The sequence below is a fragment of the Homo sapiens genome, chromosome 11 (assembly GCF_000001405.40).
Source record: "Homo sapiens chromosome 11, GRCh38.p14 Primary Assembly".
NCBI classification, from domain to species: domain Eukaryota; kingdom Metazoa; phylum Chordata; class Mammalia; order Primates; family Hominidae; genus Homo; species Homo sapiens.
In genome coordinates, this window is record NC_000011.10 from 14,642,486 (window position 1) to 14,667,735 (window position 25,250).

Below are 25,250 nucleotides of genomic sequence, written 5' to 3' on the forward strand. Positions count from 1 at the left end.
AGTGCCTTTTGCTATGCATGTGAACTATGACCATATACGAAAATGGTCTGTTTTAGGTCATGACTGTGGGCAGAGATTAATTGGTGAAAAATGGGCCTGTTTGTGGGATTTACCACACAGTAAGGTTTCTCATCTGCCTGGAAAAATGTGGAATTAGCTCTTTGAGAAATGCAGTCCGGTCATGAGGTTGAAGCGAGAGCTTAGGGAGGGAAACACAGTTCACTCTCTAAGGCAGTTATGATTGGTTAGATTCCAGAGCAGTCCCTTTGGTGTAGTAAAGTTCTTTTCTTCTCGCTTTCAGGTCTGTGTTTCCTAATGTTGCTAGTTTCACCAGTACTTCACAGATAGCATCTTATTCGGCTTCCTTCAAGGCCTGCTGATCCAAACTGGGGAGTGGTCTTGGAGAGGATTCCTAGTTCTCTCCGCTCCCCCATCTAGAAAGTGCTGTTACAGTGAAAAAGCCTTCAATTTGCAAAGACCAATTGCGACAGCAAATCTGTGCTGTGTGGAAGGGGATACAAGTTGTGAACCGGCGGATATGTATGACAAGGGTACAAAATGGAAGGCGAGACGTTAGTTCTTCGCCTGTGAAGATGGTTCTTGAGCAACACTCAAGAACGTGCACGTGGAGTGCTACTAGAGTGCACTCCACGTGCACGTTCCTCCCTAAGAGCCACTGCAAGGATCCTGGGCCTGCTGCGTGGCCCAAGAATCCACGTTGCTTCTGAGGCTAGATCTAGCCACAGCGATTAGGGTTTCTTCGCCATGGCCTTGGTGGTGGCTGGCCCTAAACTGGTCACAGTCTGAAGACCCACCCTGAAAGGGACTAAGGTTAGAGACAGCGCCCCTCCCCTCCCACCCTTAGCTCAGCATCCCCACTAAGCACACCCCTTGGGGACCACAAACGCCCTCTTTCCCGAAGACCCCAGTAGTGACCTGTGGGATTCTGGCTGGGTGTCCGTGACTTACCCTCAAAGAGAACCTGCACGCCTGGGGTCCCAGGATGGCTGGCTTGCCCCTCCCGTCCGAAGATGACCTCGTCCTTCTCTTTCAGTCCCGGTGGGTCTTCGGACTGCCGCCGCCGCGCTTTCCTCGGCCTGGGCACGCTGGGTCGGCGTGGTCCCGGCTCGCGTCCCTGTTGGGCGGCCGCGGCGCGGGTGGCGGCGGGACAAGTCGTGAGCGCGCGCTGGGCGCGCGCCCGGCCGGGGCAGTCGCGGGGGAGGAGCGCCCGCCCGCCGCTCGCGCGCCCAACGGACCAGGCTGGGGCCGTGAGGTAACTGTTGCAGCCAGCGGAGGTGGGAGGCGACACTGAGTCTCCAGTCCCGAGAGGTGCCCGAGGGAAAAGGAGGCGGCAGCTAAACTGGTCCTGGAGAGAAGCCCCTTCCGCCCCTCTCCTCAGCCAGCATGTCCCGGACTCCGCCGCTCCTCAGTCCGCGCGGTGGGGACCCCGGGCCGTGGCGGCCGGCGCAGCCCTGACGGGTTGCGAACCAGGGGGCGCCCCGAACGCGGGGGTTGGGGTCTGGGAGCGCGAGCGGCCGCTACGGTACGAGCGGGGTGTGCTGAGTCCCGTGGCCACCCCCGGCCCCAGCCATGAGGAGGGACGAGCGAGACGCCAAAGCCATGCGGTCCCTGCAGCCGCCGGATGGGGCCGGCTCGCCCCCCGAGAGTCTGAGGAACGGCTACGTGAAGAGCTGCGTGAGCCCCTTGCGGCAGGACCCTCCGCGCGGCTTCTTCTTCCACCTCTGCCGCTTCTGCAACGTGGAGCTGCGGCCGCCGCCGGCCTCTCCCCAGCAGCCGCGGCGCTGCTCCCCCTTCTGCCGGGCGCGCCTCTCGCTGGGCGCCCTGGCTGCCTTTGTCCTCGCCCTGCTGCTGGGCGCGGAACCCGAGAGCTGGGCTGCCGGGGCCGCCTGGCTGCGGACGCTGCTGAGCGTGTGTTCGCACAGCTTGAGCCCCCTCTTCAGCATCGCCTGTGCCTTCTTCTTCCTCACCTGCTTCCTCACCCGGACCAAGCGGGGACCCGGCCCGGGCCGGAGCTGCGGCTCCTGGTGGCTGCTGGCGCTGCCCGCCTGCTGTTACCTGGGGGACTTCTTGGTGTGGCAGTGGTGGTCTTGGCCTTGGGGGGATGGCGACGCAGGGTCCGCGGCCCCGCACACGCCCCCGGAGGCGGCAGCGGGCAGGTTGCTGCTGGTGCTGAGCTGCGTAGGGCTGCTGCTGACGCTCGCGCACCCGCTGCGGCTCCGGCACTGCGTTCTGGTGCTGCTCCTGGCCAGCTTCGTCTGGTGGGTCTCCTTCACCAGCCTCGGGTCGCTGCCCTCCGCCCTCAGGCCGCTGCTCTCCGGCCTGGTGGGGGGCGCTGGCTGCCTGCTGGCCCTGGGGTTGGATCACTTCTTTCAAATCAGGGAAGCGCCTCTTCATCCTCGACTGTCCAGTGCCGCCGAAGAAAAAGTGCCTGTGATCCGACCCCGGAGGAGGTCCAGCTGCGTGTCGTTAGGAGAAACTGCAGCCAGTTACTATGGCAGTTGCAAAATATTCAGGAGACCGTCGTTGCCTTGTATTTCCAGAGAACAGGTATGTTAGCTGGAAGGCGAGGTCTGGGACGCGAGCGGGTTCGGGTTTACCGCTGCAGTTTCCGAGTTGAATTCGCTTATTTCAAAGCATGTTAACTTTCAGAATGGAAAAAGGGTGTGTTGCGGGGGGGGGGGGGGAGGAAATAATGTTTTATTCTGGAAAGGATTCTTAAAATACAGGAAGCCTTTTAAAAATGCAGAAGCAAGTAGCTTTTGTCATTGAATAGAAATCAAATAGCCCGCTAATCACATGGCACTTTTTAAGGACTGTATATGCAATAGATGAGTTCGCAGAAGAATGAGGTGAATCATTTGTGGTTGAATAGATTGACTACTCCCGCTTTTGGCATCCTCTGATATGTGTCTTTTTGGTGCCATTTATCTGTTTGCTGTTATAATGATGCCTACCCAAAAATAACATACAGCCTTTAGAATGAGAGGATACATCTATGAGTTTTAATCAGTGTGGTTTCGTTATTGAAAATCGAGAGGAAAAATCTGAGATTTTATCGTTACAAGACATGAGCTTTGCAAATGAGAGTAATTTAGATGAAAAGACAGCAGTATAGGTGAATATAATATTTTACAGATTAATTCAATGTTCTTTGTATTTGTTGCATAATTAGGAGACTGTTTTAACAGTTTAAACTTTAAACTTGGTAATTCCTGGAAAGATGCCAAAAGCATTTCCATTTTTTCACCATAGGTTTACATATTTTTGTTTTTTTTTTAAAAGGGATTGAAATCATTAGCAAATGAGTTTACATCTTTATATAGTATTGGAAAAGCTACCTGTTGTACATCACCAAGAAACTTAATAAGTATAGTTACTATTATTGAGCATTTATGAAGTGCAAAACATTTTACACATACTGTCTCAGATCCTCACAAGAACGGTGTTTGGCTGGTGCCATTAACCTCTAGAGATGAGAAATCTAGGCATATAGAGGTAACACAGCTTCACATGTCTAGTTAAGTGGTAGTTCTGGGATTTGATTAGATTTTTGAGTTTTCAGTGCTGTGTTCTGCACGACTAACTGGTAAGTATAGTGGTTTTAAGTAGGAGAGTAAGAGCGTACACCCTAGGTTTTCTGAATTTTTGGATTAGTGATATGCTTTACACTGGGAGCCAATATGTTGGAGACAAAAGTTTCTTGTCCTTAATGCATTTGATGCATTCTTCTCTCTTCTTTTCTGTTCTCTTCCTTCACTTCTTGTCTGTCTTCTCTTCGAAATAATCTCCAAGCTACTACATTGGTTTTATGACGTGTTGAACACTGATCTGTAATGTTCCAATGACACAATACTTTGCTTCTTGATTTGGCTTCAGAGGCCACTTCTGTGGTCAACCACTTGAAAAAGTTCTGTTATGCCTTTTGTTTTCTCAGTTTACTACCAGTGATAATAGATAGTACTTTAGGAAAATGTGTGTCGGGAGAAAAATTGTTTTGAGAGGATTTATTATGGAACAAAGTGGTATCAACTATTTTCATAGAATGGAATTAATTGAATTTTGACCAAATGTGAACAAATTGCATTTTTTAACACTGGAAAATTGTTTTAGCAGTTTCATCACTTTTGTGGGCAATTTTCCTGAACTTAACAGTTACAGTTTAACATATTTTAATTGTAATTTGTTGGTGCGGTAATTCTGTCTGTCCTCTTGTAAGTGGAAAATTTCTAGGCTTCTTAATCCTAGTGTGGTGCTCTTTCCATCACAGCATAGCTATATATGTATATAGCTATACCAGGTAGCTTCAATTATTGTTTATATTAGAGGAAAATACAATTTGTGCTTCTAAAGAGGGTGTAATTTCTTAGTGCAGAAAACCCTTATTCACATTCTACTTCTAATAGGAACATTTTTGCACACTTAAAGTATATGTGAATAGTTCAGGGTTTATACATGCCTACCTAATATTCTGTCTACAAAATAATTCTATTTTGACATTACTAGAAAAGGGTATTTTTAACTTAGCAGATACTATCATAACAAGAATGTTTATTTATGCTTGTTCCAGAAGTCTAACAGTGGATTTGTGCTTTTTGTTTGCATGTATATTATGTTAAATATATTGAGAGGAAATCAGTACTTTTATGGAAGTAAAAGATCAGGAGATTTTCTGATTTTCAAAGTGTTGTATATGACAATGGTAAAAACACTTGCTTGTTTCAGAAGGTGAAGGAAGATGAAAAGATTTTAGATGGGACCTGACATAGGAGAAAATGTCCTGGATTCATAGACAGAGGATTGAGGAGTCTTGGCTTAACTGTTTAATTTTGGAAAAGTCTGTGAACCTTTCTGAATCTTAGTATCCTGTCAAATTAAGGGATCCTAGTAGATGAATTCTGTAATATCTTCTAATTCTAAAATTAAATTATATAATACCTTCTAATTCTAAAATTAAATTCTTTTAGTTTACACTTTTGGTAAGGTAGAAATTAAAATAAAATAAGATGTCACAAACTAGTAGTTCTTGAAGTTTTACTTAAATGTTGAATGTTGACCTTGCTAACCTATACTTTCCAAGGTATAATAATTGAAAAAGATGAGCAAATATCCTGTATATTTTGGATAGGACTTTAAAAAAGTATATGGGGGTTCATTTGTAGGATGGTAACAAAATTATTACATGTTCATTTCCTTAAGAATTTAAACATTTTTATTAACCTCTTTGAAAGCCACTTAAACTTCTATCAATAGAAATGTTTTTAATTGTAGAATAATAGATTTAAAGTAGTTTTTAACTTTTGGGATGTTATATTACTGTGTTGAAAAATAATGGCATGTTTGTAAAACATTTGATTTTATAATTAGATTTATAATATTTGATTTAAATGCTATATATGTATCAGTTCAGTTCTTAACTAAGGTTTTTTTTTTTTTTTGGCAAAGCATTTAGAGATTTGAAGCCCAAATCTAGGTGCTGTTAATGGTGTTCTGCTTTGGTGGGTTAATGGAAAGAAGCACTGAGTTTGTAGTCTTATCTGCCAAGAATCAGCAGAAACTAATAGGAAGTTTAAAAAAATCAGTCGTCTGCATAGAAGCTTTAATCAGAATTAAACAAGCTACATTTCTATGCCATTTTAATTGCATATTCTACAGTGCAATTTTCAGCTTTTCAATGAGATCACTTTGTGTTTGACTAGGTAAATACAAGGTTTTGAAAGGCATAAGTTAGTGTGTGAGATATTTTTCTATACCTTTAGTGCTAAGTGCTTTCTAAATGGTTAGGTAAATATTTAAAAATTCCGTGGCCCTAATGCCCATAAATATTACTTAAAGTTTTAATTTTATTTGAAAAAGGTATACATATGTAGTGTGAGAGCCTAAAAAAGAGAGTTTTTTTTAAAGTGTGGTTATTTACTCACCTAAGGAATTTGCAAGGCATAATTCCCTGTTAATTTCTTTAAGAATACTGTAGTATTTGTGAAATTTATTTTATGGCTTCAGTGAGTGAGTGTTTTATTCCAATTTCATGTTACTATTTTGTGGTAAAATATCAGCCTACATAATAATTTTATACTTTATTTTGTAAATATAGTATGTACTCTGCCATGAGTATTATTTTTCAAAAACACAGATTTGATAGAGTCACTCTGTTTTAAAAATCTCTTATGGCTTTTCATTGTCCACAGGATACTGTTCATGCCCTTGACCCTTGCTTGCAAAGTCCTTCATAATCTGCACTCTGCCATTTTTTGTTTTATTTTTTTAAAAAGCATTTTATTACTAATGGGACACTCCCTCTCCACATGCATTCTAGCTATTTGAGGGCTGCTTCTTGTTATTGACATTGTTGTGGGTTTTTCTCTTTTGATTTTAACATCTCCACTTGTTGAAATCTCCTTTAAGGAACAAATAAGATTAGGAAGACTTTAGGCAGTGCACTGATACTCAAATTTATGTATAAGCTGAGAACAAATTATAGCAGAATGGGCCATATTTAAAAATAAAAGTTGACAAACCATATGAAACAGTGCTGATGAGTATTTCCATTATAGTGCATTAGATAGTCACATCTCCATAATTTGTTTTTATACACTTAGTAGAAGGTAACCATAAGTAAAAGCATAAAGTTTGTTTTTCATTGTCATCAGACTCTGTCCTCCTCAGTGGCAGGCCCTTCTCTCATTCTTTCTCTTTTCCCTTTCAATTACCAAGTCAGCTTATTTCCCTAGCACACTCTTCTAAGCCTTCTGTACCCCATTCAAAGCAAAAATTTATTCTTGCCGAAAAAGCCTATTTCAGTATAAATGTTGGTATAGATATATAAAATATAGGACAGGTTCAGAGTTTATCTAATCTAATTGAAATCTGCTCATTATATATTGTACAAGGAAAATAAATTGAACTCCAGAGAGATAAAAATACTGGCTGAGGGTTATTCTGTGAGATATTTGGAAAACGGGGACTAGAACCTAGGTCTTTACTCCTAGTCCACTTTTACTTTCCACAAGGAGCATATATACTTCCCATCATAGCCTTCCAAGGCTGTACTTAATTTTGCCAGGTATCTCCAATTATGTGAAAAAAGGCAGTGTCTCTGGTTAAAGGAGGTAGGCAAGAAGTGAGAGAGAGTCAGTTAAGAGGGACTCTTGAAAATCCTATAGTTTGTAATGACCTTGATGACAAACTTCTGATACAGTTATTTCAGAGTAATTTGTAAGGATGCAGCTGGTCGCAAACTCATGTACCTACATAACATTTATTTTATATGTTGAAGACAGAGGGGAGGGTCAAAAGGAGAGTAGGAAGAATGGAAGTGAACTGACTATTGCCTGCTTCGCTTAAAGGCATTCAGTTTAAACAAAAGAAACTGAAAAACTGTTAGCTAAACAACATTTTGGAAGAACTGGGTTCTGTCTGTGGGTGGTTCCTGACAGTTTATAACATTGACTTGTTGTTCATCTTGTTATTTACAAGCTGATCTGCACTTATTTAGGTTGTTGTTATAAGCCTGTTCTTAGAACTTGGGGCAGAAGAGTGTATCTCCCACTTTTTTTTTTTTCTTTTACAACCAACAACTTTCCTTCTGGCATTGATTTACCTAGCAGATAACTTTACAGATTTCTCCTCCTCCATCTGCTACAGCACGTTCTTTGGCCACCTCTTCCTTACATTTCATACAACTTGCATTCAGCAATGTTTTTTTTTTTTTTTTTTGAGACAGGGTCTCACTCTGTTGCCCAGGCTAGGGTGCAGTGATGTGCAATCTTGCCTCACTGCAAACTCTGCCTTGCAGGCTCAAGTAATCCTCCCACCTCAGCCTCCTGACTAGGTGGGACTGCAGTGCGTGCCATCATGCCCAGCTAATTTTTGTATCTTTTTTTTGTAGAGAAGGGGTTTCGCTGTGTTGCCCAGGCATGTCTCAAACTCCTGGGCTCTAGCCATCTGCCCACCTTGGCCAAAGATGTCCACATTTGAGAATATGTTACCTTATGTGGCAAAATGGACTTTGGAGATGGGTTTAAGGATTTTGAGATGAAGATATTATCCAGGATTATCTGAGTGGGTGCAGTGTAATCATGAGGGTCCTTAAAAAGTAGAAGAGAGAGGCAGAAGAGATTAGAGAAGATTTGACAGTGGAAGCAGGGTTGGAGTAATACAGTGTGATACACATCCACCCTTGGGAGGCTGAGGCCGGAGAATGGCTTGAACCCGGGAGGCGGAGCTTGCAGTGAGCCGAGATTACTCAACCCATCTTTGCTAGCTTTGGTGATGAAAGAAGGGGACCCTGAGCCAAGGAAAGCAGGCAGCCTCTAAGAAGATGAAAAAGGTAAGGAAGTAGATTTTTTCCCTAGAGCTCCCAGAAAGTATTGAAGCCCCACCAGCACCTTGGTTTAGCTTAGTGAGACCTATATCAGACTTCTGACTTGCAGACCTACGAGATACATTTGTGTTATTTTATGCCTTTGAATTTGCGATAATTTGTTACAGGAGCATACTAGTTTGCTAGGGCTGCCATGACAAAGTAGCACAAACTAGGTGGCTTGAACAGCAGAAATGAATTGTCTCAAGTTCTGGAGGCCAGAAGTCCAAGATCAAGTTATCTCCAGGGTTGGTTCCTTTTGAAGGCTGTGAGGGAGAATCTGTTCCATGTCTTTCTCCTAGCTTCTGGTGGTTTACTGGCAATCTTTGGCTTGCAGATGCATCACGCTGATCTCATTCTTCATCTTCGCATGGCATTCTCCCTGTATGTTCACATAGTCTTTCCCTGTACCTGTCTTTGTTTCCAAATTTTCTAATCTTCTAAGGATCCAGGTCATATTGGATTGGGGTCCACCCTGATTATCCCCGTAGAGACCTTATTTCCTAATAAGATTACATTCTGAGGTACTGAGGATTAGGACTCAACATATTTTTTTGGGGCGATACAATTCAGCCCATGTAGGTAGAAACAGAAAACTAAAGCTACGTAAAATTGAATTGTTTTTCAAAATGGATGCTGAATATAAATTGATACATTTATATTTTTGCTATCAGTGAGTAAGAATGCCCCTGGATCCACATTCTTATCAACCAGTGCTTCCTATTTACTGACTTTTAAGTTTGGCTAGTCTAGTGGGTATGAAATGGCATTTCTTTGTGATTGTAATCTGCATTTTTCTAATTTCTAGATTTATATGTATGTTGTGATGTAGAGATTCAATCTCATTTTTTATCCAAATGGATATCCAGTCATGCCAACACACTATATTGAAAAGTTTATTTATTCTCCATTCATCAGTGCTGCCTCTGTCCTATATCAAATTTCAATATATGTATGACTGTATCTGGGCTCTATTATGTTTGATTTGTTAGTTTATGCATCTTGTGTTAATACCACACTATCTTAGTTATAATAGCTTTCTAATAAGACTTAATATCCTGTATTGATAGTGTCCATTGATGTGCAAAAGTTTTCAATTTTGATGAAGTTTATCTACTTTTTCTTTTGTTGCCTATGATTTTGGTGTCATATCAAATAAATCACTGCAAATTCAATGTAATGAAGCTCTCATTCTGTGTTTTCTTTGAGGAGTTTTATAAAAGTTTTAGTTCTAATATTTAGGTCTTTGATTCATTTTGAGTTAATTTTTGTATACAAAATTTTGTATAATTACAGTGTAAGGTAATGGTCCAACTTTATTCTTTTGCCTGTGGATGTTACATTTTTCTAAGACCATTTGTTGAAAAAAACTGTTAATAACCTTTCAACAAAGTGTTGGCTTCTTTGTTGAAAATTATTTGACAGTACATGTGAGGATTTATTGCTAGGCTCTCTGTTCTATGTCATAGGTCTATACGTCTGTGTTTCTGTCAGTACCACACTGTTTTGATTATTGTATCTTTTAGTAAGTTTTGAAATCATGAAGTTTGAGACCTCAAACTTTGTTCTTTTTCAAGATTATTTTGGCTATTTGAGTGTCCTTTGAGATTCCAATATGAATTTTAGGATGAATTTTTCTGTTTCTGCAAAAAATGTCATTGGGGTTTATTTTTTATTGTGGTAAAAACCATAAAATTTACTCTGTTCTTTATTTTTAAGTGTACAGTTCAGTGGTGTTAAGTATATTCACATTGTTGTGAAACAGATCTCCCTATCTTTTCCATCTTGCAGAACTGACACTCTATACTCATTAAATAACAACTACCCTTCCGCTGTCCCCTGATAATCACCGTTTGACTTTATGTTTCAATGAATTTGAGGACTTTAGATACCTCATATAAGTGGAATCATACAGTATTTTTTTGTGACTTGCTTATTTCACTTAGTATAATCATCTTTGGGATTTTGATAGAGATTGCCTTGAATCTGTAGATTGCTTTTAGTAGCACTGGCATCTTAACAATAATAGGTTTTCTAATCCATGAAAATGGGATATCTTTTGATTTATTTGTATATTAATTTATTTCAGCAATATTTCATAGTTTTCAGTGTATGAGTCTTTCACCTCCATGGTTAAGTTTATTCCTGAGCATTTTATTCTTTTCAATGCTGTTGCAGATAGAACTGTTTTCTTAATTTCCTTTTTGAATTATTTATAGTATATAACTCTATGCAACTGATTTGTATGTGTTGATTTTTATATACTGCAGCTTTGCTGAATTTGTTTGTTCTAATGGTTTTTTTTGGTGGAATCTTCAGGGTCTTAACTTAGTTTTTGATCCCTAAAATTAGTGCTGCATATGTAGACTCAGAAACCTCACGTAAAAATTTAAATTGGCCTCAGGTTGGCAATGTTCCAAGGCAATGGTTAGAAGCAAATTCAGATTCTCCAAGGCCTCAAATAATTCCTACAGATAAAATCCCAAGGAAATTCAGCAGTGCCTAGTCAAAAATCCACAAATCAGGCAAGGTAATAAGGCACTATGAATAAGAACCTAAGAAAAAGTACACAACAAAAACACATCCGCCCTCGGGAGGCTGAGGCAGGAGAATGGCTTGAACCCGGGAGGCAAAGCTTGCAGTGAGCCGACATCATGCCACTACACTCCAGCCTGGGCGACAGAGCAAGACTCCGTCTCAAAAAAAAACCAAAAAAACCAACAAAAAAACCACACCCACCAAAGCTTCGGATTATATAAGAAATATAAAAACACGTTTATTATGATGAAAGAAATAAAATAGAAACCTGAAAAAAATGATTGGGGGACAGGTGATTAAAAAAACTGTCGCTGGCCGAGTGTGGTGGTTCATGCTTGTAATCTCAGCACTTTGGGAGGCCGAGGTGGGTGGATGGCTTGAATCCAGAAGTTCGAGACCAGCCTGGGCAACATGGCAAAACCCTGTCTCTACAAGATACAAAATATTAGCTAGGCATGGTGGCGAATGCCTATAGTCGCAGCTACCTGGGAGGCTAATGTGGGAGCATCACCTGAGCTGGGGAGGTCGAGGCTGCAGTGAGCTCTGATTGTACCACTGCACTGCTGCCTGAGTGACAGAGTGAGACTCTGTCTCAAGAAAAATCCCCCAAAACCCCAAAACACACACACACAAAGTTATATAGGTCAGAAGAGTTGGAGAATAAGAAGTAAAGTATAACTTGGACTTAATTGAAGTTCGAAAAGGGGATAATAAAATGGAGAGGAAGAAATATTAGAAAAAAATGTCTGTAAAATAGCATTTTAAAGAACTGATGAAAAATGCCAAGTTTTTGTCCAGAAAGCTCACTGAATCTCAAGCAGAATAAATTAAAAGAAACCCATACATTATTGCAAAATTACAGAACCTTAAATAAAAAGATAACTACTAAAAGAACTCAGAAAAGAGAAATGGCCTTCAAAAGAATGAATGGCAGTTTTACTGAAAGGTGACTTATTAGTAGCCACAGTGGAATCCATAAAGCAGTGGAATATCATCCGACAGGTGCTGAGAGAAAATAAGTGTCAAACTAGAAATCAGTGCCCCGCAAAACTATCTCCCTAGGAAAAGTGCAAGCTAAAACAATTTTAGAAAAGGAAAAATTGAGGGAGTTTTTACCACTGAAAGTACATACTCAGGCAGAAGAAATGAATGAGATCAAGAAGGTATACTAATGATAAATATAGGTAAAACTAAACAAACACTGTTATTATAAGACATTATTAACAATGTCTTCTAAGAGAACAGACTAGAACTAAAGTGCTAGAAAACAATAGCATTTACATTGGAAAGAAGAAATTAGAAGAGTATGTTAAAAAGTTATATTTCAAGGGGAGGGCTAAGAGTTTGACTTTAAATCTTGTTTATATATACACAGCAGCTGTCTACACACACACACACACACACACACACACACACACACACACACACAGAGCTAGTGCAACTGCTGAAAGAGTAGATATTGTGTGAATGGCTTCCAAACAAATAGAGGTGACAAAAGAATTGAGGGAAAAAAGGAGACCAAATAATTAATATCAGAGAAAAAAGGAGGTCAAAAAAGGAAACCTAGGCGAACAGGACAAATACTTAAAGCATGTAAAAAGATGATAGAAATAAATCTAGATACTACCACGAATCACAATAAATATAGAAGCAAAAACTTTGTTAAAAGAATATAAAGATTGTCCACTTGGATTTTCTGACTGTATACTCTTTGCAAACATAAGAATTTATCAAGGTTGGAAATAAAAGAATGGAAAAAGGACACAAGACACTATAATAAAACTGGTAATATTAATATCAGAAAAACTGGGAAAACACTTTGCTAGAGAAAAAGATGATCATTATGTAATTATAAAAGACTGAATTCACCAAGAAGATAAAATTTAAAATTGTAGATACCTAATAACATAAATGTCTATGTCTATATATATACATACACATATATACACACACATATAATTATTTCCAAATTCACCTACAGTAGAAAGCATTCCTTTTGTATATTTTATTTATACCTTTAATTCATTCCTATCACATTAATATACTCTTCTTATACTGTCTTAATTACCTTTCAGTTATTAGCCCCCTTTTTTGAGCATCTCAGTGTGCTAGGTGCTGTGGGGGAAATATAAAGATCAATAAGATATGGTTCTATCCCTAAGGAGTTTATATCTAGTAGACTCAGATGTGCAGACTAGCTCACCATGAGACACAATTGTGTAACTGCTGTGTTCCAGTCGAGCACCTCATTGTGGAAGGCAAATAGTGATCAGTTTTTCGGGGGAGTGTATTGGAAGTCTTTATAGAGGAGGCATTTGAAGGACATATTATATAAGACTTGATTAAGTAGAGACAGGCGTTGAGACTGGTAAACCATGTGATGGTAAAATTCATGACATTGTTGTGGAAATCAGAATGGAAAGCTAGTAAAGTGAGGAGTGTAGAGTTAGTGTGGGAATGTTACTGGAAAAGACTGGAAGATTGGTTGAGAGTAATGTATGGAAGATATTGAATGCCATCCTAAACTTTTTGATTTATTCAGTGGAAGATGTTGGAAGATTTTCAGAAGAGAAGAGACATTTTCTTTATTTAGTTTAGAGAGATTATTGACAATGGGAAAAGTAGATCAGAGAATGAAAATATTGGGAGCAGGGAGCCCGTTATAATCATTTATATGAGAGACTGAGAACAGTGGGAGTGGAAAAGCCCTGGTGATTGGAAAAAAGGAGGTATGAAGATGCTTAAAGTCTTAGTGACTGAAAGTTTACTGGTGTCATTAGCTAATGTAGGGAACATTGGAAGATGAGCTGGTTTGGGAGAAATGCTAAAGAGCTTGACTATTGATTAATGCATGTTCCAGTTTTCACATGTGAATGGTTGATACCTCTTTTACATCTCTAAATGGGATGTAAACTCCCTGAGTGTAAGAACTAAGCATTTCTGTTTTGTATTTATCATTTACATTTTGGAGTTCACAATGGATATCTGTTATTATATTTATACTTATTGTCATTTCTTATAATGTTTCCATGTTAACCTTTAGTGAAGAAAAGAACTGTGGGTGGAGATGGATCCCAATTTCCTACTGTCTTTGGTATTTTCCTTAATAGACAGTTATTGCACAGTGGTGAAGCTAGACTGCTTGAGTTTAAATGTCATCTCTACCACTTACAGAATGTTGGACAAGTTGTTTAACTTCTCTGTACCCCAGTTTCTCTGTGTATAAATTAGGGGTAATCACAGTACCTATCTTATTGATGTGAAATAGATGTGATATGAAATGTTGTGAGGATTAATAACCTGTAAGTTCTTGGAACAGTGTCTGGCACCTGGCAAGTTTTCAACAGATTAGTTGTTATGGCTGTTACTATTAATAGTTGAAATTCTCATCCTTGAATTATTTAATAGTTTATGCCAAGTTTCTCTAAATCAATGGTAAAACGAATTGAAATTTAGATCTATGAGACAATCCGTTTTTATTGTCTCGATACTTCTCTTGGGACTGGTATTAAGCAAAAAAGCAAATCCTTTCCATAAGGGATTATATAGGGGAAATTCTTTCAACAGTGGTCAGTATTTAGGACAACAAAGAAAAGATACAAGGAGTAATTTAAAAAGTGATTAAAAGGGGGGTAATTTGGATTTATTTTCTTTTAAAGTTTCAGAGTTAAAGATTAAGAACCTTTGGTCTTCCAGAAGAAAAATGTGTCAGCTGCTACAGTCATAATTTACTGTCCCATAAGCTTTTTGTTCCAGTTTGTCACTTTGGAGTTGGGAGTACACTGGGAAGTCAAACAAATGTCTTTACCCATAATTCTTCCTTCACAGTTCACTGTCTGTTAAGCATGTTGATAACTATGCAGCACCTCCCCAGGAATGGTAAGAGGGAGATAAGAGATACGGAAACAGAAAGAAGAGAAACTGTATGTAAAAAAGTGACTCTTCCAACCCTCTTTTTCACTCCAGTCAGTATTAGTCACTTTACTTTACTGCTTCAATGTAACACTTTGTTCCACTTTTCAGAAAAAGTCTCCTGAAGAGCTTCTACCAGTTAGATAGTAATCGTTAAAAGCAGACAAAAATAAATATGGATAGGAATTTTTACCAATATATGGGAAAATATTTTTCTTTACGGGAAAATACTTACATACACATTACTAAATACCAGTGTTTATCATTATGTAAGTCATTTTTTGTTTGTTTTTGTTGTAAAAATATGCACCATCTACAAATAACTTTAATACCTGAAAACTCATTTCTTCAGCAGCATTACTGGGCATTCTGCTAGGAGCTATAAAGGCTATGAAAAAGAATCACATAATGTCATTATTCTTAGGAGTTTAATGTAAGATAAAAAGTGAAGATTATATTTTAAATAATAAAACAGGCAGTGCAATTAATATTGTAGTGTTTGAGAGGTCTCAAAAAATAACACCCAAATTCCCTGCCCAAATTTTGAGAAGAGAGTGACAGATGAGATATCAGAATACTACCTGTATTCCTGATAAAGCTGTTATTCGAAGGCATGGCTTGTATCAGTAGATAGTTTTGCTTTCTAATACCAAACCCCAGAGTTAAACAGACTTCCCTGGTCATTAGCAGAATAGGACCAGGAACATTTTCCCTGTTTGCCTGGAGAGCCTATCCATGGAGAAGCATTGGAGAACTTCTGCTTCCATCTAGTGGGTAGGCTTCCAAGAGCAAAAAAAGGGGTAGAATTATGCTTACATGATTCTTTAGTCTAAACTTACCAGTCAGGTAAGTCACTATCCTCCTTCTAGGGGATAAATAAGTGAAAGGGTAGAGAGAGTCCAAAAATATTTAGCAACAGTTCTTCCTCATAGAAGCCATAGGATTGAGAAAAAGGCATTGCCTCTCTCAACACGATAATAGAAAAAGCTATTTGAAATTCTGACATCTTTTAGACAACATATATTTTAATTTTTGCTTGTCGCCTTTCTTTTTTTTTTGAGATGGAGTCCTGCTCTTGTCGCCCAGGCTGAAGTGCAATGGCACTATCTCGGCTCACTGCAACCTCCGTCTCCTGGGTTCAAGGATTCTCCTGCCTCACCCTCCCAAGTAGCTGGGATTACAGGCATGCGCCAACACTCCCAGCTAATTTTTGTATTTTTAGTAGAGACGGGGGTTTTGCCATGTTGGCCAGGCTGGTCTTGAACTCTTGACCTCGTGATCCGCCCGCCTCGGCCTCCCAAAGTGCTGAGATTACAGGCATGAGCCACCGCGCCAGATGTCACCTTTCTTGTAACTATAGTGTCTATATAGTTGCATGGAATGTACATAATTTAAAAACTGAGCCTAGATTCTGCCTTTGTTCATTTGTTTCTTTCTTGACAAAATCAAGTCACTTATTTCTGTGCATTTATTGTTGCACTTAATATTCTCTATCATATTTGGGTTGATAGGCCTTTCCTGTCTCTACATTTTATGTCCTTTAAATTCAGGGACAGTATCTTATTTATTTATGTGACCCTGGTGCTTGGCATATATCAAATAGTTTATTGAGTTGGATTATTGGATTAAATACTGTTTTTTTAAATCACTTCGCAGGACATTTTTTTCCTAGTTGATACATAATACTCATAATTTCATCACTGAAAGTAACTTGAAGAACAGGATGCCTAAGGAATAAGTTCTTGATGTCACAAAACCCAGCAAAAATCTTCTTCAGCAGGGGAAGCTTACTTAGGTGAATGCCTCAGTTTATAGGTGAAGCTTGGAAGAATGTTGCAAGTTGGGAGAATGGAAACTAATGCAGGACATTGTGTGCAGGAGTTGCCTCTAAAATAAAGGAGGAGCATGGAATGATAATTTGAGGTGAGGTCATAGTGAGGCAGTAGGGTTATAAACAGTTTTGACATTACTTTTTCAGATATGGCTTGCAGAGTTAAAAATTCCTAGATGTTTCAATGGTTCTCAGTTAACAAGTGTTGATAGAACATTTTCAGTGCTTAGACTGCACTTTTGATTTCTAGGGAGAACTTCATTTTTAACATAAATTTACTAATTTTAGTAGTTCACCAAGGAAGAAGATGGTAGTAAAATACTGGTCATAATTATTTAGCAAACTCTGGAAATGTGATTTTTTAAAAAAACTTTTCTTTAAGTTCAGGGGTACATGTGCAGGTTTGTAAAGGTAAACTTGTGTCATGGGAGTTTGTTGTACAGATTATTTCACCACCCAGGTATTAAGCCTAGTACCCATTAGTTATTTTTCCTCATCCTGTCCCTCCTCCCACTCCGGTAGGCCCCAGTGTGTGCTGTTCCTCCCTACGTGGTCATGTGTTCTCATCAAGTACATTTTTGTCAGGTAACTGAAGTTTATCTTTTTACAAGTAATATCTTTTTAATTCAAACACATTTTTGCTGTGACTATTTCTATTATGTTTACCCCTATTTCTGCTTACCCTGAATAGATCTTGATGAAAATAATATATTTCTCTGAAAAGTAAGGATTGTCATTTTAAAAATTAGTAAACATGTATTTGACAAAATTATTAGCAGGCACAGCAGAAGCAGTTCATACAATCTGTTTGGTAAACTGAGTGATCTCCCAGTTCTGTGTTCCCCCAAATAGTTCACCCACACATTCCATAAAAGGTTCTCTTTAGGCAGATGCAACAATACCCTGAAGGCATAATTGTTAGCTTTATAGTCAGCATTAGGCAATTAAAATCCTCCGAAATTAATTCCAGACTTGGCTGTAACCCTAAGAGCCATTCTGGAAGACAGAGGATGTAGAGTTTACGAGATCTTATGCCCTGTTTATAAGGGAGGGGAATATCCCCAAAATATTTAGGAGAGTTCACACATACTGAATGCCACTAATTTCAACGACAAGAGCTTATTTCTAATATTCCTTATATTATTGCTTCTAATATTCTTTTTTTTTTTTTTTGAGGTGGGGTCTCGCCCTGTTGCCCAGGCTGGAGTGCAATGGCATGATCTCGGCTCACTGCAACCTCTGCCTCCCAGGCTCAAGCGATCCTCCCACTTCAGCCTCTGGAGTAGCTGGGGCTACAGGCACGTGCCACCATTCCTGGCTATTTTTTTTTTGTATTTTGTAGAGATGAGGTTTTGCTGTGTTGCCCACGCTGGTCTTGAACTCCTGAGCTCTAGTCATCTGCCCACCTTGGCCTCCCAGAGTGCTGGGATTGCAGGCATGAGCCACTATTCCTGGCCCCTTCTAATATTCTAATACTAGAATATTCCTTATATTATTCTTTCTAATATTTCTTATATTTCTAATATGCCTTACATTAGTCTTTAGGGCTAATAGGAATAGCTTCTGAAGTGCTTATAATAGCTGCTTCGGGAGTGTGGCCTTTCTGATTAAATGCTAGCTGATCACCCTTAGAATATAAATTCTTGTTAAATAACATATTTACATTTAAATAGCAAGAAAGGAGAATGTAAGCATCCTGAAGATAAGAATTTTTGCCTGTTTTGACACTTCTCAAAAGAAGACATTTATGCAGCCAAAAAACACATGAAAAAATGCTCATCATCACTGGCCATCAGAGAAATGCAAATCAAAACCACAATGAGATACCATCTCACACCAGTTAGAATGGCAGTCATTAAAAAGTCAGGAAACAACAGGTGCTGGAGAGGATGTGGAGAAATAGGAACACTTTTACACTGTTGGTGGGACTATAAGTAGTTCAACCATTGTAGAAGACAGTGTGACGATTCCTCAGGGATCTAGAACTAGAAATACCATTTGACCCAGCCATCCCATTACTGGGTATGTACCCAAAGGATTATAAATCATGCTGCTATAAAGACACATGCACACATATGTTTATTGTGGCAGTATTCACAATAGCAAAGACTTGGAACCAAGCCAAATGTCCAACAATGATAGACTGGATTAAGAAAATGTGGCGGTTAAGAGGAGGATAGTCGAGATGGCCGAATAGGAACAGCTCCGGTCTACAGCTTCCAGCGTGAGCGACGCAAAAGACGGTTGATTTCTGCATTTCCATCTGAGGTACTGGGTTCATCTCACTAGGGAGTGCCAGACAGTGGGCGTAGGACAGTGGGTGCAGCGCACCGTGCACGAGCCGAAGCAGGGTGAGGCATTGCCTCACTCGGGAAGCGCAAGGGGTCAGGGAGTTCCCTTTCCTAGTCAAAGAAAGGGGTGACAGACGGCACCTGGAAAATCGGGTCACTCCCACCCTAATACTGCGCTTTTCCGACGGGCTTAAAAAACGGCGCACCACAAGATTATATCCCGCACCTGGCTCGGAGGGTCCTAGCCCACGGAGTCTCACTGATTGCTAGCACAGCAGTCTGAGATCAAACTGCAAGGCGGCAGTTAGGCTGGGGAAGGGGCGCCTGCCATTTCCGAGGCTTGCTTAGGTAAACAAAGCAGCAGGTAAGCTCGAACTGGGTGGAACCCACCACGGTTCAAGGAGGCCTGCCTGCTTCTGTAGGCTCCACCTCTGGGGGCAGGGCACAGACAAACAAAAAGACGCAGTAACCTCTGCAGACTTAAATGTCCCTGTCTGACAGCTTTGAAGAGAGCAGTGGTTCTCCCAGCACGCAGCTGGAGATCTGAGAACGGGCAGACTGCCTCCTCAAGTGGGTCCCTGACCCCTGACCCCCGAGCAGCCTAACTGGGAGGCACCCCCAAGTAGGGGCAGACTGACACTTCACACGGCCGGGTACTCCTCTGAGACAAAACTTCCAGAGGAACGATCAGACAGCAACATTCACGGTTCACAAAAATCCGCTGTTCTGCAGCCACCGCTGCTGTTACCCAGGCAAACAGGGTCTGGAGTGCACCTCTAGCAAACTCCAACAGACCTGCAGCTGAGGGTCCTGTCTGTTAGAAGGAAAACTAACAAACAGAAAGGACATCCACACCAAAAACCCATCTGTACATCACCATCATCAAAGACCAGAAGTAGATAAAACCACAAAGATGGGGAAAAAACAGAGCAGAAAAACTGGAAACTCTAAAAAGCAGAACGCCTCTCCTCCTCCAAAGGAACTCAGCTCCTCACTAGCAATGGAACAAAGCTGGACGGAGAATGACTTTGACGAGTTGAGAGAAGAAGGCTTCAGACAATGAAACTACTCTGAGCTACAGGAAGAAATTCAAACCAAAGGCAAAGAAGTTGAAAACTTTGAAAAAAATTTAGACGAATGTATAACTAGAATAACCAATACAGAGAAGTGCTTAAAGGAGCTGATGGAGCTGAAAGCCAAGGCTCGAGAACTACGTGAAGAATGCAGAAGCCTTAGGAGCTGATGCGATCAACTGGAAGAAAGGGTATCAGTGATGGAAGATGAAATGAATGAACTGAAGCGAGAAGGGAAGTTTAGAGAAAAGAGAATAACAAGAAACGAACAAAGCCTCCAAGAAATATGGGACTATGTGAAAAGACCAAATCTGCGTCTGATTGGTGTACCTGAAAGTGACGGGGAGAATGGAACCAAGTTGGAAAACACTCTGCAGGATATTATCTAGGAGAACTTCCCCAATCTAGCAAGGTAGGCCAACATTCAGATTCAGGAAATACAGAGAACGCCACAAAGATACTCCTCGAGAAGAGCAACTCCAAGACACATAATTGTCAGATTCACCAAAGTTGAAATGAAGGAAAAAATGTTAAGGGCAGCCAGAGAGAAAGGTCGGGTTACCCACAAAGGGAAGCCCATCAGACTAACAGCGGATCTCTCAGCAGAAACTCTACAAGCCAGAAGAGAGTGGGGGCCAATATTCAACATTCTTAAAGAAAAGAATTTTCAACCCAGAATTTCATATCCATCCAAACTAAGCTTCATAAGTGAAGGAGAAATAAAATACTTTACAGACAAGCAAATGCTGAGAGATTTTGTCACCACCAGGCCTGCCCTAAAAGAGCTCCTGAAGGAAGCACTAAACATGGAAAGGAACAACCGGTACCAGCCCCTGCAAAATCATGCCAAATTGTAAAGACCATCAAGGCTAGGAAGAAACTGCATCAACTAACGAGCAAAATAACCAGCTAACATCATAATGACAGGATCAAATTCACACATAACAATATTAACTTTAAATGTAAATGGGCTAAATGCTCCAATTAAAAGACACTCCTCACTTCAAAAAACCTGTCTCACGTGCAGAGACACACATAGGCTCAAAATAAAAGGAAGGAGGAAGATCTACCAAGCCAATGGAAAACAAAAAAAGGCAGGGGTTGCAATCCTAGTCTCTGATAAAACAGACTTTAAACCAACAAAGATCAAAAGAGACAAAGAAGGCCATTACATAAGGGTAAAGGGATCAATTCAACAAGAAGAGCTAACTATCCTAAATATATATGCACCCAATACAGGAGCACCCAGATTCAGAAAGCAAGTCCTGAGTAACCTACAAAGAGACTTAGACTCCCACACAATAATAATGGGAGACTTTAACACCCCACTGTCAACATTAGATCAACAAGACAGAAAGTTAACAAGGATACCCAGGAATTGAACTCATCTCTGCACCAAGCGGACCTAATAGACATCTACAGAACTCTCCACCCCAAATCAACAGAATATACATTTTTTTCAGCACCACACCACACCTATTCCAAAATTGACCACATAGTTGGAAGTAAAGCTCTCCTCAGCAAATGTAAACAAGCAGAAATTATAACAAGCTGTCTCTCAGACCACAGTGCAATCAAACTAGAGCTCAGGATTAAGAATCTCACTCAAAACCGCTCAACTATATGGAAACTGAACAACCTGCTCCTGAACGACTACTGGGTAAATAATGAAATGAAGGCAGAAATAAAGATGTTCTTTGAAACCAACGAGAACAAAGACACAACATATCAGAATCTCTGGGACACATTCAAAGCAGTGTGTAGAGGGAAATTTATAGCAGTAAATGCCCACAAGAGAAAGTAGGAAAGATCCAAAATTGACACCCTAATATCACAATTAAAAGAACTAGAAAAGCAAGAGCAAACACATTCAAAAGCTAGCAGAAGGCAAGAAATAACTAAAATCAGAGCAGAACTGAAGGAAATAGAGTCACAAAAAACACTTCAAAAAATCAATGAATCCAGGAGCTGGTTTTTTGAAAGGATCAAGAAAATTGATAGACCGCTAACAAGACTAATAAAGAAGAAAAGAGAGAAGAATCAAATAGACACAATAAAAAATGATAAAGGGGATATCACCACCAATCCCACAGAAATACAAACTACCGTCAGAGGATACTACAAACAGCTCTAAGCAAATAAACTAGAAAATCTAGAAGAAAGGGATAAATTCCTCGACACATACACCCTCCCAAGACTAAACCAGGAAGAAGTTGACTCTCTGAATAGACCAATAACAGGCTCTGAAATTGTGGCAATAATCAATAGCTTACCAACCAAAAAGAGTCCAGGACCAGATGGATTCACAGCCGAATTATACCAGAGGTACAAGGAGGAGCTGGTACCATTCCTCCTGAAACTATTCCAATCAATAGAAAAAGAGGGAATCCTCCCTAACTCATTTTATGAGACCAGCATCATCCTGATACCAAAGCCGGGCAGAGACACAACAAAAAAAGAGAATTTTAGACCAATATCCTTGATGAACATTGATGCAAAAATCCTCAATAAAATACTGGCAATCCGAATCCAGCAGCACATCAAAAAGCTTATCCAACATGATCAAGTGGGCTTCATCCCTGGGATGCAAGGCTGGTTCAATATCCGCAAATCAATAAATGTAATCCAGCATATAAACAGAACCAAAGACAAAAACCACATGATTATCTCAATAGATGCAGAAAAGTCCTTTGACAAAATTCAACAACCCTTCATGCTAAAAGCTCTCAATAAATTAAGTATTGATGGGACATATCTCAAAATAATAAGAGCTATCTATGACAGACCCACAGCCAATATCATACTGAATGGGCAAAAACTGGAAGCATTCCCTTTGAAAACTGGCACAAGACAGGGATGCTGTCTCTCACCACTCCTATTCCACATACTGTTGGAAGTTCTAGCCAGGGCAATTAGGCAGGAGAAGGAAATAAAGGGTATTCAATTAGGAAAAGAGGAAGTCAAATTGTCCCTGTTTGCAGATGACATGATTGTATACCTAGAAAACCCCATTGTCTCAGCCCAAAATCTCCTTAAGCTGATAAGCAACTTCAGCAAAGTCTCAGGATACAAAGTCAATGTACAAAAATCACAAGCATTCTTATACACCAATAACAGACAAACAGAGAGCCAAATCATGAGTGAACTCCCATTCACAATTGCTTCATTCACAATTTGATTCCTGGAATAAAATACCTAGGAATCCAACTTACAAAGGACATGAAGGATCTCTTCAAGGAGAACTACAAACCACTGCTCAATGAAATAAAAGAGGATACAAATAAATGGAAGAACATTCCATGCTCATGGGTAGGAAGAATCAATATCGTGAAAATGGCCATACTGCCCAAGGTAATTTATAGATTCAATGCCATCCCCATCAAGCTACCAATGACTTTCTTCACAGAATTGGAAAAAGCTACTTTAAAGTTCATATGGAATGAAAAAAGAGCCCGCATCGCCAAGTCAATCCAACACCAAAAGAACAAAGCTGGAGGCATCACACTACCTGACTTCAAACTATACTACAAGGCTACACTAACCAAAACAGCATGGTACTGGTACCAAAACAGAGATATAGATCAATGGAACAGAACAGAGCCCTCAGAAATAACGCCGCATATCTACAACTATCTGATCTTTGACAAACCTGAGAAAAACAAGCAATGGGGAAAGGATTCCCTATTTAATAAATGGTGCTGGGAAAACTGGCTAGCCATATGTAGAAAGCTGAAACTGGATCCCTTCCTTACACCTTATACAAAAATTAATTCAAGATGGATTAAAGACTTAAACGTTAGACCTAAAACCATAAAAACCCTAGAAGAAAACCTAGGCATTACCGTTCAGGACATAGGCATGGGCAAGGACTTCATGTCTAAAACACCAAAAGCAATGGCAACAGAAGCCAAAATTGACAAATGGGATCTAATTAAACTCAAGAGCTTCTGCACAGCAAAAGAAACTACCATCAGAGTGAACAGGCAACCTACAAAATGGGAGAAAATTTTCGCAACCTACTCATCTGACAAAGGGCTAATATCCAGAATCTACAATGAACTCAAACAAATTTACAAGAAAAAAACACACAACCCCATCAACAAGTGGGTGAAGGACATGAACAGACACTTCTCAAAAGAAGACATTTATGCAGCCAAAAAACACATGAAAAAATGCTCATCATCACTGGCCATCAGAGAAATGCAAATCAAAACCACAATGAGATACCATCTCACACCAGTTAGAATGACAATCATTAAAAAGTCAGGAAACCACAGGTGCTGGAGAGGATGTGGAGAAATAGGAACACTTTTACACTGTTGGTGGGACTGTAAACTAGTTCGACCATTGTGGAAGACAGTGTGGCAATTCCTCAGGGATCTAGAACTAGAAATACCATTTGACCCAGCCATCCCATTACTGGGTATATACCCAAAGGACTATAAATCATGCTGCTATAAAGACACATGCACACGTATGTTTATTGCGGCATTATTCACAATAGCAAAGACTTGGAACCAACCCAAATGTCCAACAATGATAGACTGGATGAAGAAAATATGGCACATATACACCATGGAATACTATGCAGCCGTAAAAAATGAGGAGTTCATGTCCTTTGTAGGGACATGGATGAAATTGGAAATCATCATTCCCAGTAAACTATCGCAAGGACAAAAAACCAAACACCACATATTCTCACTCATAGGTGGGAATTGAACAATGAGAACACATGGACACAGGAAGGGGAACATCACACTCTGGGGACTGTTGTGGGGTGGGGGGAGTGGGGAGGGATAGCATTAGGAGATACACCTAATGCTAAATGACGAGTTAATGAGTGCAGCACACCAGCATGGCACATGTATACACATGTAACTAACCTGCACATTGTGCACATGTACCCTAAAACTTAAAGTATAATAATAATAATAAAATTAAATTAAATTAAAAAAAAGAAAATGTGGCACACATACACCATGGAATACTATGCAGCCATAAAAAAGGATGAGTTCATGGCCTTCGTAGGGACATGGATGAAGCTGGAAACCATCATTCTCAGCAAACTGTCGCAAGGACAAAAAACCAAACACTGCATGTTCTCACTGATAGGTGGGAATTGAACAATGAGAACACATGGACACAGGAAGGGGAACATGACACAACGGGGACTGTTGTGGGGTTGGGGGAGGGTGGAGGGATAGCATTAGGAGATATACCTAATG

At 40.1% G+C, this 25,250-nt stretch overlaps 2 protein-coding genes across 12 annotated transcripts in view, besides 2 other annotated features; one reads left to right on the top strand and one right to left on the bottom strand.

Moving 5' to 3' along the window:
• PSMA1 (proteasome 20S subunit alpha 1) overlaps positions 1 to 1,177 on the bottom strand; it is a 138,787-nt gene extending 137,610 nt beyond the window's left edge. Inside the window, exon 1 of the mRNA NM_148976.3 lies at positions 970 to 1,177. The gene's annotated coding sequence lies outside the window, so the exon portion shown is untranslated. The remainder of the gene's footprint in view (positions 1 to 969) is intronic.
• Positions 1,171 to 1,570: a silencer, noted in NCBI's record as "silent region_3173". NCBI's record gives its function as "represses an Ori minimal core promoter by ATAC-STARR-seq in GM12878 lymphoblastoid cells {active_cell/tissue: GM12878}" and the evidence as "EXISTENCE:reporter gene assay evidence [ECO:0000049][PMID:35858748]".
• The window catches only part of PDE3B (phosphodiesterase 3B), a 255,518-nt gene continuing 231,586 nt past the window's right edge, over positions 1,319 to 25,250 (top strand). For all 11 annotated transcript variants that reach the window (NR_190763.1, NR_190764.1, NR_190766.1 and 8 more), the window contains exon 1: positions 1,319 to 2,568. Coding sequence is in view for 7 of the 11 variants with exons in the window: in NM_001429700.1 (NP_001416629.1) it covers positions 1,591 to 2,568 (978 nt within the window). In the remaining 4 variants the exon portion in view is untranslated. The remainder of the gene's footprint in view (positions 2,569 to 25,250) is intronic.
• Positions 19,170 to 19,349: a silencer, noted in NCBI's record as "fragment chr11:14683201-14683380 (GRCh37/hg19 assembly coordinates)". NCBI's record gives its function as "represses an EF-1alpha promoter that drives an FKBP-Casp9 reporter gene in an ReSE screen in HepG2 liver carcinoma cells {active_cell/tissue: HepG2}" and the evidence as "EXISTENCE:reporter gene assay evidence [ECO:0000049][PMID:32094911]".